Consider the following 22,459-nt stretch of genomic DNA (forward strand, 5'->3'; position numbering starts at 1 on the left):
TGAAAAGTGTCATTAGTGTTTTGATAGGGACTGTGCAGAATTTGTAGTTTACTTTGGGCAGTGTAGACATTTAATGATATTAATTCTTCTAATCGGTGAACTTGGAATATCTTTCCATTTATTTATGTTCTCTTCTATTTCTTCCATACATGTTTCATAGTTTTCAGTGCAGAGATCGTTCATCTTCTAGGTACTATTTTTCTGTAGCTGTTGTTAATGGGATTTTTTTTCTTGATTTCTTTTTCAGATAGTTCAGTATTGGTATAACAAATGCTACAGACTTTTGTGCACATTTCTAAATTTAACAACTGCAAAAGCCTTCGCAGCAATGTTTCCTGCTTTCTAACCCCTCTGTTCTATTTCTGAAGCCAATCAATGCCACCAGTTTCTTCTGTCATTCTAGATAATATGCATATGCAAGTAAAATAATTCTTCTCCTATTTTCTTTCTTATATAGTAGCATTCTGTATGTACTGTTTCACATCTTGCTTTTTCAATTAATATATTTTGGAGATAATTTCCTATCAGTTTAAATAACTTCCTCAATTTGTTTTTTCTTAACTGGTTACACAATATTTTATTATGTCAATATGCTGTAATCCAAAATATATTTAGCCATTTTTCTTTTGATGAACACTTATGTTGTTTAAAGTTTTTGATATTAGAAATATGCTGCAAAGACCATTCTTATTAGAACCATGTGTAGATATATCCAGAAGGTTCTTTGCTGCTGTTATGTTTCCCAAAACAGATCAGGTGGTGTTATTACCCTCAGAAGAATATCCTCCTTGTCTACTTTAAAAACAAAATCTAAATACTTAAATAAGATCTGGTGCTTCGCTTCCTTTGATGGTTTTCTGTGTCAACATGATTGGGCAATGGGGTGCCCACACATTTGGTCAAATATAATTATGGTTGTGTTTGTTAGAGTATTTCTGAATGAGATTAACATTTGACTTAGTAGACTGGGTGAAGCAGATTGCCTTCCCTGATGTGAGTGTGCCTCATCTAGTCAATTGAAGACGTAAATGGAACAAAAAACACTAAGTAGCAGAGAACTCCTCTAACCTGATGCTTGAGAAGGGACCTTTGTCTTCTCCTTCTCTTGAAGAGGAACTTAACCATCAGATCTCCTGGTTCTTCAGCTTGCTGACTGCAGTTCTCCATAGTAATGTGGGTCCATTTCTTATGATAATTCTCTTTACCCTTACTGCTCTGCATACTCATCTACTTTCTGTATTCAGTGAACACAATTCCAGAAGACAGCAGTGTTGAAACTATCGTAGACCAGTGAGAGGATGCTGGTTTGGAAGAGCTATAATTTCAACAAATAAAGCATAGGAGGAATAAGTGGATACAAGGAAGAACCCTGGTAGCAATACATATTGAGAACTGTAGATTTTGGACAACTCTTTCTGCATAAGTTGTGAGAGAACCAGCAATGCTCTTCAGAAGAGATGCTCTAATTTCAATGGGAAAATGTTTGAAAATGTCAGGCTTAACACTGGACACTAGCCTAGAAACAAAGCATATCTCCCTGACATCCAGTGCTAGATCTAGAAAGTGGGACCAGGGGAAATAAATACATTTTATTGATTAACAAACGCTGATACCTCACAGACCTATGTTCATTCAATAGAAAAATAAAATAGAAGGATAAATGATCATCTTGACCACTCAAATGAAGATTGGGCATCTGAAAATGATTTATCATGGTTAGTAGCAGAAGATATGGAATGCTAGTTAGCACCTTCAATAGAAATCAAGAAGAGATGACCTTAATGAAATAGTATCAGAATATTATAGAAAGAAGAGGTTTGGAAAACATATAAAGAAGACAGTTGTGAAAGAAAAGAATGATTAAATGTAATCTGACAAGTGCAATAATAGATTCTACATTGTCAACTATAAAAAGAACAAATGATGCTGCTAAAAATGGAAACACTAACATGAAGAACAGTGCTGTGAATTCTCTCAATGGCAGATACAAAAAGAGAGATAATGGTACATTCACTATGAAGGAACAGATTGGCAGTTTTTAAAAAGTTAAACATAGCCTTATACAACCCAGCAATTGCACTCCTAGATACTTACCCAATTGAGATGAAAATGTTTAAGTCCATATAAACCTGCGTGCAAATGTTTATAACTGTTTTATTTACAAATACCAAAAAACTGTAAGTAACTATGATGCCCTTTAATAGATTAATGGACAAACACAGTGTGGTACTTCCAAACAATGGAATATTATTCAGCAATAAAAGGAAATAAGCTATCAAGCTACAAAAAGACATGAGTGAATCTTAAGTGCAATCTAAGTAAAAGAAGCTGTTGGAAAATGCTTCATAGTGTATGATTCCTATTATGTGATCTTCTGGAAAAAGCAAATCTATACAGACAATAAAAAGATCTGTGGTTGCCAAGGGTTTGAGTGCAGAGGATGAGGGTTAAACGGTTGAAGCACAGAGGGTTTTTAGAGCAGTGAAACTATTCCGTATGATACTATAATGGTGGAGACATGACATTATACATGTTTCAAAACCTGTAGAACTGCACAGAACAAATAGTGAATCTTAGTGAATGCAAAGTAAAAACAAAATCATTTTGAGTGTGAAGGGATCCCAGGGAGGAATACAGACTGTGACAGGGGAATCCGATTGTATTTAAAAAAGTGTATGAAACAATCTCACTGAAGGGTCTGTAAAGGAAAGGCACTGACCTAAGTAACATTGGAAATAAGTGCTGTCTGTAAGATTAAAGGCAACGGTACTCGAGTTGTTAATGTTGTCTCCCATGGGGTATGAGTCAACAATCCTGATGCTGCTATAAATGGATATCAGAATTGGACACTTAAATAAACAGACAGCAGAGGGTGGGAGTCACGTTTTTCATTGTTGGAGTGGGAAATTTACAAATAAGCAATAGAGGAAGCTAGAATGAACTATGTGGTAATGGATTAGAGCTGGAGAAAACAGTATAAACTCATGTTTAGGTTAACATACATACAGATAGTCGCATATGTAGAAATATTTGTACTATGTGTACATACATGGGTTAGTATATACATATATATTTATTTACTTTTTCAGCTGAGGGGGCCTAAAATAAATCATATACCAGTAGCAATGAGAGCACTTCTAATTGCTCAGATCCTGGGTTTTGACACCATTGTCCAATAGCTTCTTGGAGAAACGGCTGATTCTAGGACTGGGCAAGAATTATGCAAGATGAGCCTGGAGCCCCTTGTAGTTTCAGAAAGCAAGTGCCTCCCTCTTCACCAAAAACTCCTACACTGATGACTCTGTGTCAAAGGGACATGGAAATCAATTTAAATAGCTTCCAGTTGCTTAAGTGGCAACAATTTTAGCAGCAAAATTAACAACAAAGTAATGAATTATAATCCAAAGTATGAAGTAATAACCATGAGTTTATACTGAGAATACGTAAATGATTAAATAAATAAATAAGAAAGAAGAGTCAAATCTCCTTTGCAGTAGAACTCCAGATTATTTCTGAAGATACTCCACCCTCGAGAGAGTGCCATAAATTCACACTTTGGAAGTGTGGGCCATGCATAGTGGCTTCTTTCTGAGGACTGGGGTATGGGGAGGGCCACCTTTACAGGGTAACTTTAGAGTAACTTTCCAGTGGGGAAACTGACAAACACTGTCTCAGCCAGGTTGTCTATCAAGGCAATAGAAACAGTAATAAATTATATTGACTGTATGTATTTTGACATGATGTGATAAAAATGCCTCTGTGGTCTTCCTCTTAAAAAACTATAACTCTGATCTAATCATGAGAAGAATATCAGATAAATTTAAACAGAGAGGGTCTCCTTTAAAATACTTGATCAGTGCTTCTTAAAACTATCAAGGTCATCAAAAACTAGAAAACTAAAAGAAACTGTACAGCCAAGAGAAGCTTGTTTTGAGAGCCGCCGGCTGACATGGGGTTCTAATGCTGGACGTGGGTGTTTACAGTGTGGTTTTCACAGGATGGTTCTTTTACCTGGCAGATGGTCTAATGCCTAGCTGCCTGATCCACGCCCAGGAGGTCCATCACACAGGAAACTTTTTTATACTGGAAGATGCCCTTGTGGGTCTTGTCTGACCAGCGTCCAGTTTATTCCTGCCTGACCATTGCTCTGGCACTGGGAGCCCTACCTTTTGTTCTCTGTGGTGTTCTGGGGACAACCCAGTCTAGAGTAGCTCCTGGTTCTTTAGATGGAAGGTGAAATTTAATATTCCATCACAATAGGAAACAAGTTCAGAGACTTATTTACAGGCAATAAATAAGTCCTAGGCAAGGGGGACATAATGAATCAGGAAGGCAATCCTCTGTCCCCAGGTCATACGAGGCAGGAATGGAGAGTTAGGCAGAGATAGCAAGACAGCCAGTGTGGCAGCTAGCAGTACATACAGGGGAAGAGGGTGTGGGTCACTTTAAGTTTGTGGGAAAAAGCATGAATGGCCTGTTTAAAGCAAAGGGCCACAAAAGCAGGACACTCAATTTCCTAGGCAGTAGAGATACCTCTAAGTTATTATCTGCCTACAGGCTTGAGGCATTTGGGCGTGGTATAAAACTAGAAACCGTGTGAAGGGTAACTGAGCCTGGCTTTTAGTCTGAGAAATTTAAACTTCTATTAAAGATGGATGCTGAAGCAACATAAAATTGTAAGAATTCACTACAGAGCTTAAGGAGACATGACAAGTTAATGTAATGTGGTCTCCTGGATGGAATTCTGGAATAGAAAATGGCATTAAGAGAAAACAAAGGAAATCTGAATAAACGTTAGTTAATAATAATGTATCAATATTGGCTCATTGATTACAGTAAATGTACCATACTAATGTAAGTGTGCATAAAAGGGGATCTTAGTGGGTGGAGTATATAAGAATTCTCTGTATTATCTTCTCAAATTTTCCATTAATCTAAAACTGTTCTAAAAAATAAAGTCTATCTAAAAACATTGCAATGCATATTCATAAATACCAAAACCCCAATAGAAAAATCAATAAAGATCATGAACAGAAAGTTTACATACATACAAATAGTTATTTTTAAAAAATATTGCCTCACACATAATAAAGAAATGCACCTAAAAACCATGATACATATTGTACATTTTTTCACCCATAGGAATGAAAAAGAGAAAACAAATTGGTAACTCATGGTAGTGGTTTCAAAATATATCCACAAATCCTCTGATACTTCTTGGTTCAAGAAGTTAGGTTTAATTTCTCTTCCTTTGAGTATGGGCTGGACTTACTGACCCACTTCTAATAAAGAAAATATAACAGAAGAGATGGGTTGTGACTTCTGTGACTAGGTCATGAAAGGCATTTTTGTTTCCTACTTACTGTTTCTCTTGGATTATTTGCTCTGAGAAAAGCCAGTTACTGCATCCAAGGGCACTCAAGCGTCCCTATGAAGTCCACGTGGTGAGGAACCGAGGTCTTCTGCCAACGACAGCCAGGAACTGAGGCCTTTTGCCAATAGTCATTTTGGAAGTGAATCCTCTAGCTGTGGCTAAACCTTCAGATGGCTGCAGCCCTGGCCAACCTTGTGAGGTAGAAATAACTAGCTAAGGTCATCTCAAATGCCAAATTCACAAAATCTGTGAGACAATAATTTTTTTTAAGTTGCAAAAGAGAGAGAGAGAAGAAGAGGGAGAAAGTTAGGAATGGAAGAAGGGAGGAAGATTGAAAGGAAGCAAAAAATAAAAGTATTGAAGGAGAAGTTGATAGACACGGAGGATAGAGAATGGAGCTCCAATAGAAAATGATGATATAAGCCATAGTCAATTATATAAAAGGAGAAACTTTCTTGAGCTTTAAAAGTATCTGAGTATGCTGATTTAAGATCTTAATTATATTTCAAACCCCCCAAAATGAGAACCCTAAGTTGAATCCAAAACAGAGTTATGCAAATGTCCTGGTAGGAAGAAAAAAAAGGAAAAAGAAAAAGAAACAAAACAAGTTATTTTTAAGGAATACACATGACCTCAGATATTTTTGTTGCTGTTTTCTGCTGTATTAAACTACAGCAGAAAATTTTAAAATGTATATAGAATTTGGGGGCAATAAGTGGTGGTGCAAGAATTTGTACATAGGCAAGGTAGTCTTTTATCGGGGGAAACAATAAATATTCCTCAGTGAAATATAGACGGAGTTATTATTAAAAAAATAACTTTACTGAAATTCTTCACTGAAAAAAAAGATTGATATTTACTATGGCCATGAAAAAGATGAATTAGGAATAAGACAATTGTCGTATAAAGAGATTAATGTTTCTTACCTGCTTCTAGGAATGTATTTTTAGAAAATATTATAAAATTTATGCTGCATTGGTATTATTATTATTATATAGTATTAATGAATATCCTTAAAATGATATTGAGTATTGACCTTTAAATGACAATGAATAACATCATTTTAATAATGACCTAGAATACTGATGAACAGGATGATTTGGTAATGTCATAGAACGCACATTAGATTAAATGTCAGATTATCAAAAATAATGCAAAACTGGAGATGGGAGAGAGAGAGAAAAAGAGAAAGTTAGATTTCAACCGTTCTTGTTTTTAAGTTGAATATTGGACTTAAAAATATTGGAGAGTATAATATCAAAAGCATAGGTGTGATCATTTTAGGATAGAAGGGTATAGAGCGATGTGTAAGTTAGAGAATAAACTATGGTAATGAAGAAGTCAATAATGTAGTGGCTCAAATGAAACAGAAGGGTGATTATTTCTCATTCAGTAGTCAGGAAGCAAGCTTGTAGTTTAGATTTGGTAGGAGACTGTGCTCTTAAAACTCATTCAGGAACTCTGTTTCTCTAACATTCCTGAGGGTATGGTCCTTGTCCATTTGCTTAAAGCTGGTCCACTATGCCAATCTGTGATATAGACTATGGGAATGTGGGATAAATAGATTTCTTATAAAAATGTGATTTAGAAGGTATATATCACTTCTAGTTGGATACCCTCATGTAGCTACAACAGATCCCAGAGAAGACTGTCTTGAGCTGGGCTTCAGTGTGCAATACTGAAATGCAGTGGATACTAAAAGAAGAAGAAAAAGAACATAGAAGGTGTTTTAAGCCATGTCTAATACAAGAGGACTTTTTCTTATTAATATTTTTCTATAATTTTTAATTTAAAAATGGGTATGTATTCCATTTATAATTCTGAAATGGCACACGTGCATGCACACACATACAAACCTGAAAAAAGAAATCCTCACTGGGTTTGTTCTATAATACCTCTTTTAAAAAGGTCACCCGTTATAGGTACCTGCATACTGTACAGATACTTTGCTCCTTTATTCAGATTTCTAATTTAAACATCAAGGAAGGAACAATGAAATGAATGCTCTAATAGAATACATAATCTCAGAGTAATTTCTCTAGCCCTTTCTAATAGACCAGAATTTTGTTTTTATTTTATTATGTGTTTACAGCAGATCAGCCCTTCTGAATATAGTTGTTAGTTTGAGTAATAAATTGAGAATAGATTAACTGAGATAAGCCCAGCTTAGATCCAGGAGGAACTGGCTGAAATGTTGTAGGTAGTGGTGGGAAGTTGTCCTGGTAAGAAATTCCCACAGATTAACTAGAATTTACTACACATCACTATTTTATATCTGGTTTTGATATTATGCTTTCTAACGGGATGGATAACAACACTTCCCTTCCTGTGGATTAGAGAGAAATCTTATGAGTTTCTCCAAAGAGTGCAAAAACTTCAGGCCTATTTATTTCCAATTATAGGCTTTGACTTTTACATCAAACCTCATGTTCATTTTTAAATTTTGAATCATCAGTGGGTTTTAAAATATTGCTAATTACAGGAGGCATAAATGTTAAAGTGTTAAAAATACTAAAAGTGAACAACCTTCCAGAAAAAAATGTTTTCAGTTGAATTTCTCAACTAATGAAAATGACAATGACAATGTGGGTGTTATTTAGTTGTCTATTTTATCTGACAAACACATGTGATGCGATGACACATGAAACACAAAATTATTGATGAAATATGAAAGCTATTGAATGGAAAACATTGGGCATGGATAGGATGGTTTTATAACTGGTAGAAAATGTTCATTTAGGGAAAAGATAATTGTTCTGCCAATCTAGATCCTGTGGATTTAACAGTCTACTTGGGTGTTTTCCATAGCTGCGCCATTTCCCCCTATAATTATGGTGTCAACTTTTAAGTAAATATAACCACTTAATAATCTTGATATTGGAGGTCAATATTAGCAGCCAGTTATGGTATAAAATGGTTGCTTTAAGCTTAAAATGAATGGATAATAAAGTTGATAATAACAGCTAACACTTACTATGGGGACAGGCATATTTGAAGCATTCCCTGCATTAATTCATTTAATACAATAGTCTTCTGAGGTACGTGTTATTACTATCCACACTTTACAGATAAATAATTCCTTTCTTTAATTCCTTTAATACTTTTTCTGGGTGTGTATATGTGTTTTAGAATGTTCAGTGAGGATGTTAATTCCTTTGATACTTTTTCAGGGTGTATATGTGTTTTAGAATGTTCACTGAGGATGTTTGTGTGTTCCTGCCATAGACGGTTAGCAGAGAGTAGATTGCAAAAAGAAAAGTAAGTTATTAGAGGAATATCTCCAAGAAGTCAGTTATAATCCCAAATATGTGGCTGTCTACTAGAAGAGTAGGTGGCACTCCTCTGACCAGCAGGCCAAGAATGGGCTGTGCTGGACAACTAAAAGTGGTGTCTTCTAGAAAGGAAAGGCATTCAGGTAGTGGTAATGAAGGAGAAAGAAAAGGAGAAAAAGAAGGAAGAGGCAGAGGAAATAATAACATTTATTGAGCACCTGCTATGAGGTAGATGCTGTTGAAATTGACCCAGTTGTCCTATAGAGCTGATGTTTATGGTTTCCTTGAATAAACAGAAACTGATCCCAGTCTTAAACTTGAGAAAGTTATATTTGTCTTATCTGAGTTCCCTTCTCAGGAAACCAACCATCAGGCCTCCTAGACAGTAGCAAGGAGCTGCAACTCACCAGATCACTGCATTTGGACAATAAGATTTCAGACCCCTCGCCCCCTCATGATTGCCTAACCAACCACCTGCTTCTGTTGATCAACTCCTCTTCCTTATCCCTCCCTAATTCATATTTTCCCACACATGGTTACATTTTTTCCCTGCTATACAGACCACCTAGTTTTAGTCAGTCAGGAAGATGGACGTGGGACTGATCTCCCACCTCCTTGGCTGTAGCACCCAATTAAAGCCTTCTTCCTTGGAAATACCCATTGTCTCAGGGATTGGCTTTGTGTGGGGTGAGCAGCAGAACTAGACTGAATTCCTGGTGTTTTGTTAACACTGTATTTGCATTACAGTGATTGTCTCTACATACAGATGAGATACATGAGACACTGAGAAATGGATACCACTGAGGTCATGGCCAGGAGGTGGCAGTGCAAAGATTCCTACCCAAGCTTCCTCATCTGTGAACAGAACAGGAAGGCCTCGGTAAATAGGTACATGTTGACAAGCAACAACCTACTCAAAACTCATCTTTTTGTATTAATGCATCATGTGACTCCCTCGTTTGGACTTCTGCAGGAACATGTCAGGTAAGTAGGTCCTCATTATGTCTTGTATCTGTTGGCATATTCATATTCCATGCAGGCATAGCTTGTTTGTTCAGCTAGAGCAAGCGCTTCTTTAAAACCAACGTTTTGTTTCTTTCACTCATAGTTTTTGCTATGTAGCCTCAATCAGTGTAGCCTTCAATAAACTATTTAACAAGGCTTTAGTAAAGTGAAAATAGGTACGTGCAGGCTGGGGCAGGTGAACCAACATGTATTTTCTCTGTTTCATTTTACTTATTGTTTGGACAAGTTCCACGGACTCCACCCTGCACGTCTTTGCTCATGGGTTCCTTCTATCTGAAATAGCTTTCTATCCTGTCAATGTTCTTCAATGTCCATTTTAAATGTTACACAGTCCAAGCAACGTTCTCTGATCCTCACACATGTATGGATCTCTCCCTCTATTGTTCTTCCAACTTCTAAATAATACTTATCTCAGTACGTGTAATTTCCCACAGGGGTCTGTGGCAGTCCCCAGCATACTGACTTGTACACCCACCCACCCCAGGGTTTCCGCCTGGGATCACCCAGGTATCTGTATGACTCATTCACTTGGCTCAAGTCTCTCATCAGAGAGGGCTTCCTTTCTGGATTCTGCAGGAGCCGACTCTCAGACAAAGATTAGAGAGGCAAGTAGTTTTATGTGGGTGGTGGTCCCAGGAAGCTTCTGTAGCAGAGATGGAAAGAGGAGAAAGGCAAGACAGGGTGTACTAACAAGCAAGGGGGGAGCTGAAGCCCAGCACACCCCTCAGAGTTCCCCTTCCCCACAGGGGAGCAAGCTAGAGCTTTATTCTCCATCTCCCTTCCTGTCCTTGGGTGAACGTCACTTCTGGGGGCATGACCTCTCTAAGACCTTGACTTCCACCTGGGAAGATGCCCTGTGCTCCCACAGGAAAGAAAGACTCCAAGAGAGCTGCAGATGTTCCCAGTATCTGACCTTTGGGATGTGGAAGAGGGTGTAGGTGACGTGGGTCTGGCACAACCAAATGCACACAGCCACAACATCTATGATATTTCCCCCTTGCTTCTGTTTATGTCCTTACTTTACTTTCATTAGCTTCATAGCAGATACCTCCACTTGCTACAGATTTCAAACTCAAAAGCACATGGACTTATTCTTTTTAATCTCTTGTGGTACCCCCAGAACAACATCTGGCACATAGTAGGTGCTGCACGAATACCAATGAAATAAATAAGTGAATAAATATATGTTACATTTAAAGATTAATTCACTACATTGTTTTATGTATTTTTAATTCACAAATAATTTTATAACTTTCAGTGCATCATTTCTTCAATTTTGTATTTCAAAGATTCTATTTTTTAGTGCATATTGCCACTTAAGTATTTGAAAACGACTTTAACTTAGGCAATTGTAAAGTTGCTGCAACAACTTTGGCTCAGTTTAGTTTTATTGTATTTTTCAATATATTTCATACTTTTCAATAAAATGGGAAGTCTTTAGGTCAAACATTTCTTTATTTTATCACATTTTGGGAAAAAACTATGCTACATTATCACAACTATACGTGTCTATATCCTCTATCATCTATTCATGTCTATATCTTCTTTCGTCCATCAATATCTTCTATTATCTATTTTCTATCTATATCTTCTGTCTATCTATATGAAAGGAATAATCGTATCACTATCATATGTAATACATATGTATGCATTGGTCATGGTGATATAGTAATTTGACAAAGAAAAACTCCTCAGATAAGGATGTTTTGCTTCATAGATGAGGAAACTGAGACTCAGTGTTTTTGTGAGTTACCCATGGTCATGTTGCTAAACCGTGGCAGACCAGGACTGGGATCCAGGTTGCTCTGTTAGAAAAGTGTTTTTTCCACCATACCATGGAGTCTTTTTCCATAAACTGCTGTATTATATGTATAAGCCACTTCCCTTTTGCATGGCGTGGCTCTTAAAAGAAGAGCACTTTAAATATTAGTTAATCCCAAGTGAACATTTGAGTTTGAGTGATATGATTATTCCTTCCTTATACATAAAGGGAGACATCTGTGTGAGGCTGAAAGATTGGCCATAGGTCAGAAGAATGATTTGTTTGAATTCAGAGGTTATCCTTGGATATTGGAAAAGCCCTTGCTTATGGCTCAGAGAGAAAAAGTTATGCAAATCAGGACGCTGTGTTTCTGCCTTCAGCCCATCTGGGCCTTGATTAAATAAACACAATTTCCCCTGTAATCTTTATCTTAGCATGTGCTCCCTCTCTTAACCCTTGAGCCATTTCTATATGAGGCCAATTCAGCTTGAGTGATTTTCTTTCATTTAGTGGACTTTATTTTTGCCTAGATTGACTGAATATTGGGGCATCATTTACCATCAGCAACATATGAGAATTCTTTGTGTAGGGGAAACGTTGAAATCAATGTGTTATTACAAGGGGTTGAATTGCAGTAACCCATAGAAATCATCTTATCATTGTCATTGTCTCCTGTAATCTATTCTCTCCCTTTCTAATACAAAGCATGAGGAAAGTTTAGCCAACCTGATGGTTGTATGTCTGTTTCCAGAAACATAAGCACCAGACTTAAAGCACACCACCCACGCTGCCCAGATGGCAAAATGCTTCAGCCTTCACTGATGTCTTACAGTGCTGCAGAGGCATGTGTCTGTGCTGGCCGGCCTGGGCCTGGCAAATGATGTGCCGTCTTCTTTCTGTGCACAGCAGCTCAAAAACCATGATGAGGCTTCGTCTGCTGGAATGAACAGATATCAATTTAAGCAGTTGGCCTCTGAAATTTCATTCACATTTATGGACATTTCTATTTTTCTACATTTAAACCTCAGGAAGTAGATCAGAGATTGCAAATTTCCTCCCATAAGCAGGGACACAGGTTTCCAGAATGTGAGTGTGTATGTTTATTTCAGATTGAGCATGTGTGCTTGAGAGAGACAGAGAGATAGGAAGAAACAAGTCTTTCTACGGGACACTTGGTTGACCCATAAATTCACTTTTCTTGTTGGGGTTAGTTTCTTCTTTATTATTTCCTATCTCATCTTATCTTGGGTTTATTTGGCCATTTCTTTTACTAAGTTCTTGAAACAAATGCTTGGCTTATTAGTTTTCCAACTCTCCTTTTTTTCTAAGATAGGCATTCAATAGAGCCCACACATCTTCTATGGTCATTAATTCCTGAGCCTTCATTATTCCTGCAAATGTTCATGTGGTTGGGCCTGACAAGTAGTGCTCAGGGCTGATTTGTGCCCGTGAAGGTCCTGGCCAGCACAGTTAACCCATTTATGACCCACTGCTGCTGAAGGATGGGAACAGATGTCTAGTTCTTCTTGACATATTGACTCTGTCACATTGGGGCCTGCCCCAGCAGCCAGGTCCATAGAACAGCAGCAGCAGCAATTACCACTCCACGCTGCCACTTAGGGTCTCACAAATTGTGCACTGCATAGTTCCTGGGAGTGACAGCCCTTCACAATTGTCAGAGACTTGTGTACTTACTGCTGTGGTCTGAATGTGTGTGGGCCACAGAATTCATATGTTGAAATAATAACCCCAAAATGATAGTATTAGGAGGTGAGGCCTTTGAAGAGGATTAGTGCCTAATCCCAATTCCCACTTTCTAATGGCACCTTGTTCTTGAAATTCTCAGCCTTCAGAACTGTGAGAAACAAATTTCTGTAGTTTGTAAGTCACCCAATTTATGGCATTTTTGTTATAACAGCCTAAACAGACTAACACTTACAATGGGAAATGTTTAGCTGATGGGAGTAAAATGCCCAGTGGAAGTGTCCTTTTTCTAATTTGCACTTGTCACTGGTTGGGCTGTTAGTGCTGCTGCCTTCTTTGACTAAGCGGAAAGAACTCTGCATGCTCACCCACTTCCATTCCCTTCTGTTGGCAGCCCTGCTTACCTATGGCCTGAAGTAGGGTCCCTCCAACCCATCTCACTTTTTTTGTTCATGATAGGACTTTGCCTCTGCTGTGAACAGTTAGGCCTCAGCTCATACCTTCTCACAGTCCGATACATCCATGCATGTGCACCCACACCCACACTCACATCCACCTCTCCCAAAACACACAATAACATGGTGCCACTGCAGCTCCATGTGGCATGTAAATAAGGCAAGCCCCTGCCAGCTATGCTGTATGATTACAGTAAGAGGTTCAGACCGAATCCTCTGCCATGGGTTTTCCTTTGAGAAGTGCTCAGCATGCACCATCCATGCTGTTGGGTCCTCTCCTCTCTCTTCCGGATACCCTTGGACCATCTCAATCATCTGCACTCCTAAGATACAGGCACAGTCTGGGTTGCAGTGAAGGTTCTGAGCAGGGTAGTGGCATTTTCCCACTCCTTGAAAATTCTTCTCCATTCTTTAGTTTGACATCTCCTCTTTTAAAACCAGTAAGCCTCGGTATAAGGTTTTCTTATGGATGTGTAGAATAGACTCACATGGATATCTGATAAAAAAAGAAGAGTGTTTAGATTTATATTCATAAAAAGAAAACAATAGAATAGGTAAGACAAAAATCCCCCTACACTTCTGTAAAACAAAAAATAGAGGCTTAAAATCCATGTTGCTTATGAAGACACTGTGTTGACAGCGATGAATATACCCCACTCATTTGCTGAGCCCTGAGGTTACTTGAGGTCATGAAAAATCCACTGACACAGGTTGAATCAATTCTGCTAAAGGCCTTTTAGATTCAGGCTGATGGTTCCAGTAAAAGTTACACACACACACACACACACACACACACACAACAGAGGGTGAGAGAGTACTATAGAGGCATTGGACATGCTAATCCATTGAGTCCTTTAATGCAAAGGGACACTCTGTCTTCCCATTATTGTCAGCCATGGGCTGAAAAATATTGCATTTGACACATCTTTTATACAACCCTACTTAGCTATGCATTTCTATGGCAACGATCAGTGTAGCACCCAGATCCTCATTAATCCTCTCAATGTCCCTATTTGGTAGGCAGCTGACAGCTAATATAGTCTCCATTCTGTAGATGGAGTGAAACTTTACTTTCATTTGTCAATATTGCTGGGAATGGAAGAACTGTTTAAAATATCTCTAAGCAGACATAGTCCTGTATTAAAAGTTTTGGCAAACACTTTCTTGCTATTATTTTCTATATTTCTCTCTCTATTTGAGGGGGACTTACCTGTACCTTCACCTTACCCACCTCCTGCTTTTAGAAGCCTCTGTTTCTTCAAAGTTAAACAGAGAATGGGAGTAGCATTACTCCCAATTTCCTGTGTTTGCAAATAAGTTAATGGAAGTCTTTCCTAGTGTCTCTCTATCTCCTGCCTGCTTCAGATAAAAATAACCCACTGCCAGGTTTGGGATCCACTTTCTGGTTCTGACAGGTTCTTCACATAAGCAGTTTATTTGCCAGCATCCAGCTGTTCCTTCAGCAATTTTGAAACATTTTATGTATTTAATTTTTAATCCTTACCTAATTCCATGGGTTAGCATTCAGTCAATAGAGACTGATATCACTCCAAGGGCTTACATAGTCTCTGGCTGGAATCAGGCACTTTGTCAGATGAGCGAAGAAAGGTGGTTGATTTGCTTTCTCTGAGGGTGAAGAGAGAGACACCTTTGGACACGTGAATGACATTGGGGGCTGCCTAGAATGCACAAAATGGTTTTAGAAAAAGAGAGAGCTTTGGAAGCCTAATTGATATGGGAGATCATTACCAGCTTGCTAGGTATGTGCATTAGTTCCAACTTCCACCCTAGTTATTTATTTATTGCTCTATTGAGGCAATGTCAATGTTGTTTCAAATGTGGGAAGCTTTAGTCAGCACAGAAGATCTGTTCATAAAGGACAGCCATTATTAAGAACCCATGTTCCTGGAATTAAACCATTGGCTTTAAGCAAACTGTATCCTTATAACAGTTGGATATGATAAAACATGATTAAAGGTATTGTATATGAGATTTTCTCACAATATATAAAAGTAAGATAAAGTCATTTCTTTTCTGCCTTCTCATCAAGTCCACCAGTCTGTTACCAGCATTAAGACGTGATAGAAATAATAATAGACTAGTGTAAGCAATTAAAATACCTGCCAGTGAGTTTAAATATGTGTCTGGCTCAGAGCCATAGAAAGAACTTCAAATTGGAAGATTATAATTACATCTTCCAGTGATTAAGAAAAAATATGTGCATAAAAATACTGCCGTGGTTTGGTTACGCCACCCAAATTTCATGGGTTGGGAATTTAATCCCCAAATTCATATGTTGATTGGAAGTGGAGTTTTTGAGAAGTCATTAGTATTAGCTAAGGTTATCAGGGTGCAGACCCCATAATATGGTTTTGGTATTTCCCCACACAAATGTCCTGTTGAATTGTAGCTCCCATAATTCCCTCCTTTTGTGGGAGGGAGCCCATAGGAGGTAATTAAATCATGGGGCAGGTCTTTCCCTTGCTGTTCTCGTGATAGTGAATAAGTCTCATGAGATCTGATGGTTTTATAAAGGGGAGTTCCCCTACACATGCTCTCTTGCCTGCTGTCATGTAAGACGTCCCTTTGCTCCTCCTTCATCTTCTGCCATGATTGTAAGGCCTCCCCAGCCATTTGCAACTGTGACTCCATTAAACCTCTTTCCTTTATAAATTACCCAGTCTCTAGTATGTCTTTATTAGCAACATGAGAATGGACTAATACACCCCATAACAGGACTGGTGGTTTTATAAGAAAAGAGAGACCTGAACTGACATACAGGCTTGCTCTGTCTTGCCATGTGATGCCTTGTGCCCTGTCATGATGCCAGTGTCACGCTCTTGGACTTCTCACCCTCCAGAACCATGAACTAAAGAAATATCTACTCTTCACGTATTACCCAGTCTGTGTTATTCAGTTATAGCAACATAAAATGATCTTAGACAAATACATAAAATAAAATTATCCACATTAAAAAAGATACATTTTCTTCTTTATTAGAATTTTTGCATTTCTTTGTGAAACTCTTATCTTGCTTAGTCAAATTATAGCAGGGGAAAACAAGCAACCGTAAGTAATACCAAAAACAGAATTGAATGACAACTCCACACAAACAAGTTACAAGACTTCACATCTTCTATGCCCTGCCTCTTCCCTTAGCAGGGTTGCTTTTTTTTTTGGAAGTCCTTACACTCTCCCTTCTAGCCTCATCTCTTCCTCATTCTACCATACAGGACTTATTCACAGCTGGTGTTTTTCCCTGTCTGTTCTTCCACTGTAAATGCCATACTTGGAGCTGCCTGTGCCTGCGGGCTTCTCACCCAATAGCTATTGAGGCTGCTCTTAGTGAGACAGGAGAGAGCCTTCTTTCCACCACAAACTTCTTTCTATAATAAACTGTGGCCTCAATCTTGGCATTGGATTGTATTAGCTCTGAAAGAACTGAGAATAGTACCCACGAGCCACAGGATTTAAATCCTGGATTTCCCCACCCCACCTATGATCAATCAATGTCTCAAGATGGAGCTTCTATCTCCAGTAACTCAGGATAGGGTTCTTTACCCAGTTGAACTCTTCCCCCAGAGTCTGTGATATTCCCTTCTAGGTTTGAGGATTTTTATCCTACTATACCTGACTCCTTTGTAAGTCTCAAATTTGCCCCATTATTTGCCAAAAATAAAAAACCAAAAAACCCTAATTGCTTCTCTAGCATTCGGAGTCCTGGCGGTTGTTATGGGCTGAATTGCATCCCCCTCCTTGTGTTTCATATGTTGAAGCCCTAACCCCCGCTCCCCCAGAATGTGGAGATGTGGTCTTTACAGAGGCAATCAAGTTACAATGAGATCATTAGGGTGGGTCTTAATCCACTTTGACTAGTACCTTCACACAAAGGGGAAGTTTGGCATGGACTCCTATTGAGGAAGATAATGTGAAGATGTAGGGAGAATGGTACCTACAAGCTTAGGAGAGAGGCCTGAAGCAGATTCTTCCCTCACAGCCCTTGAAGGAACCAATTCTGCCAACACCTTGATCTCAGACTTCCAGCCTCTAGAACCGTGAGACAGTAAATGTTTTGTTTAAGCCACCTGGTCTGTGGTACTTTGTTATGGTAACCCAAACTGTCTAACACAGTGGGAAACTAGGACACACTAATTAGGATTGTTACTCTCTCATAATCTTTACACAAATTCAATATACACAGTTGGATGTAAGATAGTTTGGCTGTGTGTTTGCACAGTGATACAGGCTGATGGGTAGTGTGACTGTGTACAATAATCATACAAATCAGGACACTTTTGAGAGTGACAGGGGCTACAGTAGTAATTATTCCGAATAAACAGATAATCTGGGGCTCTCCTAGGCAAACAGAAGGATTGGTCACTCACTGTGGGGAGCTCATAACAATGAAACAAAAGACTTAATGGCCCTTTGTAGTATTCCACTTCCTTTAATTTATTTGTTGAAGAAACTAGGCCATTGGCCTTGTAGAATTTTTCACAACTAGATTCTTCTGATTTCATCCCTGCATTGTATAAGTCTTTAAACCTTTCACTTCCTTGAAACTGCTGCTTAGGTTCCAGAAACTTTGTCAGATTCAGATTCAGAGATTCAGGTTCCTTTTTCTTTTCTTAAAAATATTTCATTGGTAATGCTATGTGTATTTCCCATAGCATACCATCAAGAAGCGCAGGATGGGCCGGGCGCCATAGCTCACACTTGTAATCCCAGCACTTTGGGAGGCCAAGGCAGGTGGATCACCTGAGGTCAGGAGTTCAAAACCAGCCTGGCCAACATGGTGAAACTCCGTCTCTACTAAAAATAAAAAAAAAAAACTAGCCGGGCGTGGTGGCAAATGCCTGTAATCCCAGCTCGGGAGGCTGAGGCAGGAGAATCACTTGAACACAGGAGGCGGAGGTTGCAGTGAACCAAGCTTGTGCCATTGCACTCCAGCCTAGGCAACAAGGCAAGACTCTGTATAAAAAAATAGTAATAAAAAAAAAAAGCACAGGATGTTCTTCATGATGTTAAGTTGATCAGTGGGTTAATGGGTTAACAGCCTGATCTATCTTCCATAGAATTCTCATCAAACTTTCATCTAATGGTGTTTTCAGCTGCTGATGATTGCTATATAGGTCTATTATTTGTACTTGAGTTTGCAAAATGATGTTCTGCCTATTCTTCCTCATTGATCGATTGGAATTCTTCTCCTCATATATTCTTTTACTCTGACGCACAGTCATATAGGAAAGGCAAGAAAAATTCTTGATTCTTTTACATTATGTGCCAATTTTCAGAATAGAGTGATAGCCTAACAACCTCCCTAGTTAACTGGAGAGACTGTGTTCATTTACTTTCATTAAGATCTCATGGATTTTGGCACACCTGATGTGTTTCAATTCATCACATCACTGTTCTTTTTAATGCTCAGATTGCTCCAGCTTTGACCACTTGGAGCCCCTAGTGTTCCTGTGTGCATCTGAACCCAGAATTCTCTGATAGTCCCTTTTTCTTCAGTTACAACAAGATATTCCAGACTCATCTTGTATATTTACTACCCCAAACCTAGAATCTGTCATTTTCCAAGGAGCATTGGTTCTTTTCATTGGGAATTACAGTCATGCAACGCATGACAACATTTAAGTCAACCAGGAATTACCTATAAGTTTGTGGTCCCATAAGATTATAATGGAGCTGAAAAATTCCTATGGCCTAGTGATATCATAACCATCATGCCATAATAGTGCAATGCATTACTCATGTGATTGTGGCGATGCTGGTGTAAACAAGCCTACTGTACTGCCAGTTATATAAAAGTCTAGCACATATAATTATGCATAGCACATAATACTTGATAATGATAATAAACGGTTGTGTTACTGGCTTATGTTTTTACTCTACTATACTTTTTATTGTTATTTTAGAGTGTATTCTTTCTACCTATACAATAAGGTTAACTATAAAACAGCCTGAAGTGGGTCCCTTAGGAGATATTCCAAAGGAAGGCATTACTATCATAGGAGATTTCCCCTGAAGACCTTCCAGTGGGACAAGATATGGAGATGGAAAACATTGATATTATTGATCCAGACCCTATGTAGGCCTAGGTTAATGTGTGCATTTTTGTCTTTGTTGTTAATAAAAAAGTTTGAAAAGTAAAAAAGTTTGAAAAGTAAAAAAAAAAAAATTAAAAATAAGAAAAACCTTATAGAATCAAGATATTAAAGAAAAAAGTATTTTGGGCCGGGCGCAGTGGCTCACACCTGTAATCTCAGCACTTTGGGAGGCTGAGGTGGGTGAATCACGAGGTCAGGAGATCCAGACCATCCTGACCAACATGGTGAAACCCCATCTCTACTAAAATACAAAAAATTAGCTGGGCATGGCGGCATGCGCCTGTAGTCCCAGCTACTTGGGAGGCTGAGGCAGGAGAATTGCTTGAACCAGAAGGTGGAGTTTGCAGTGAGCAGAGATAGCACCACTGCCCTTCAGCCTGGGCGACAGAGAAAGACTCCGTCACAAAACAAAACAAAACAAACAAACGAAAAGAAAATAAAAAAGTATTTTGTATAATTGCACAGCATGTTTGTGTTTTAAGCTAAGTGTTATTACAAAAGTGTTCAAAAGCTAAAAAAAGATAAAATTTTGTAAGGTAAAAAAATTACACAAAGTGACAGCCAATTTATAATTGAAGAAAGTAAAATTGTTTTAAAATAAATTTAGCATAGCCTAAGTATACAGTATTTACAAAGTCCACAGTAGTGTGCAGTAATGTCCTAGGCCTTCACATTCACTCACCACTCACTCACTGCCTTACCCACAGCAACTTCTAGTACTGCTAGCTCCATTTATGGTAAGTACATATGATAAGTGAGAGGTGACAGTGTGCTGGCAGCCCTCGCTCACTCTCGGCACTTCCTCGGCCTTGGCGCCCACTCTGGCCATGCTTGAGGAGCCCTTCAGCCCGCCGCTGCACTGTGGGAGCCCCTTCCTTTGATGGCGAAGGCCCGAGCTGGCTCCCTCCGCTTGCGGGCAGGTGTGGAGAGAGAGGCACCAGCAGGAACCAGGGCTGCACGCTGCGCTTGTGGGCCAGCTGCAGTTCGGGGTAGGCACGGGCTTGGCAGGCCCTGCACTCGGAGCAGCCTGCCGGCCCTGCCGCCCCAAGCTGTGAGGGGCTTAGCATCTTCGCCAGCAGCTGCGGTGCTCTGGGATCCCCAGCAGTGCTGGCCCACCGGCGCTGCACTCAATTTCTCACCGGGCCTTAGCTGCCTCCCCGCTGGGCAGGGCTCAGGACCTGCAGCCCACCATGCCTGAGTCCCCCACCCCGCGGCTACCCCGCCGTGGGCTCCTGCATGGCCTGAGCCTCCCCGAGGAGCGCCGCCCCCTGCTCCGCGGCACCCGGTCCCATCCACCGCCCAAGGGCTGAGGAGTGCGGGCCCACGGCGCGCGGGACTGGCAGGCAGCTCCACCTGCGGCCCCTGTGTGAGATCCACTGAGTGAAGCCAGCTGGGCTCCTGAGTCTGGTGGGGACTTGGAGAACCTTTATGTCTAGCTAAGGGATTGCAAATACACCAATCGGCACCCTGTGTCTAGCTCAGGGTTTGTGAATGCACCAATCCACATTCTGTATCTAGTCTGGTGGGGACTTGGAGAACATTTATGTCTAGCTCAGGTATTGTAAACACACCAATCAGCACCCTGTGTCTAGCTCAGAGTTTGTGAATGCACCAATCCACACTCTGTATCTAGCTAATCTAGTGGGGAGGAGGAGAACTTTTGTGTCCACACTCTGTATCTAGCTAATGTAGTGGGGAGGTGGAGAACTTTTGTGTCTAGCTCAGGGATTGTAAACGCACCAATCAGCACCCTGTCAAAACGGACCAATCAGCTCTCTGTAAAATGGACCAATCAGCAGGATGTGGGTGGGGCCAGATAAGAGAATAAAAGCAGGCTGCCCGAGTCAACAGTGCAACCCGGTCTGGTCCCGTTCAGCACTGTGGAAGCCTTGTTCTTTCGCTCTTTGCAATAAATCTTGCTGCTCACTCTTTGGATGCACACTGCTTTTATGAGCTGTAACACTCACTGCGAAGGTCTGCAGCTTCACTCCTGAGCCAGCGAGACCAGGAACCCACCAGAAGGAAAAACTCCGGACACACTGCTTTTAAGAACTGTGACACTCACTGCGAGGGTCTGCGGCTTCATTCGTGAAGTTAGTGAGACCAAGAACCCACCAATTCCGGACACATAAGTACAAGTGTACCACTTTTTATCTTTTATACCATATTTTTATTATAACTTTTCTATGTTTATATTTAGATAGGCAAATACTTATGTCACAAGTGCCTACAGTATTCAATACAGTGACATGCTGTACAGGTTTATAGCCTAGGAGCAATAGGCCATACCATCCATATATTCTAGATGTGTAACAGGGTATACCTTCCAGGGTTGTGTAAGTAGACTCTGTGATATTTGCATGATGACAAAATCATGTAACAATGCATTCCTCAAAATGTATCACAGTTGTTAAAGACACATGACTGTACTATTTACAGACCACAATCTGAAAACTAGGTGTGCTCATATATACTGAATAAATCAATGCTCTGGCCCTTTTCAAGAAAAAAAATTACATAATAAGATCATACTGATGCTTCCAATTCAAACTTAAGGGATACTATACATATTATTTTTTATTTTATGCTGAGAATTTTGATTCCTATTATCATTTACATAATTATTTATCCTATTACATGTAGTTTCAAAGTAGCAATACAACTGTATTTTTAAGATTTTTATTATTAGTTGAAATTTAACATATCAATAGTTTGTCTTCAAATCCATTTCAGTAATTTTGCTAGATGCTATT

At 39.4% G+C, this 22,459-nt stretch overlaps 1 long non-coding RNA gene across 1 annotated transcript in view; it reads right to left on the reverse strand.

Moving 5' to 3' along the window:
• Positions 1-11,042: 11,042 nt before the first annotated feature.
• LINC01885 (long intergenic non-protein coding RNA 1885) overlaps positions 11,043-22,459 on the reverse strand; it is a 159,884-nt gene continuing 148,467 nt past the window's right edge. The window contains exons 4-6 of the long non-coding RNA NR_183423.1: positions 15,098-15,219; positions 13,802-14,089; positions 11,043-12,368 (exon numbers count right to left, since the gene is read on the reverse strand). This is a non-coding gene — a long non-coding RNA (long intergenic non-protein coding RNA 1885). The remainder of the gene's footprint in view (positions 12,369-13,801; positions 14,090-15,097; positions 15,220-22,459) is intronic.

The sequence above is a fragment of the Homo sapiens genome, chromosome 2 (genome assembly GCF_000001405.40).
Source record: "Homo sapiens chromosome 2, GRCh38.p14 Primary Assembly".
Taxonomy (NCBI): domain Eukaryota; kingdom Metazoa; phylum Chordata; class Mammalia; order Primates; family Hominidae; genus Homo; species Homo sapiens.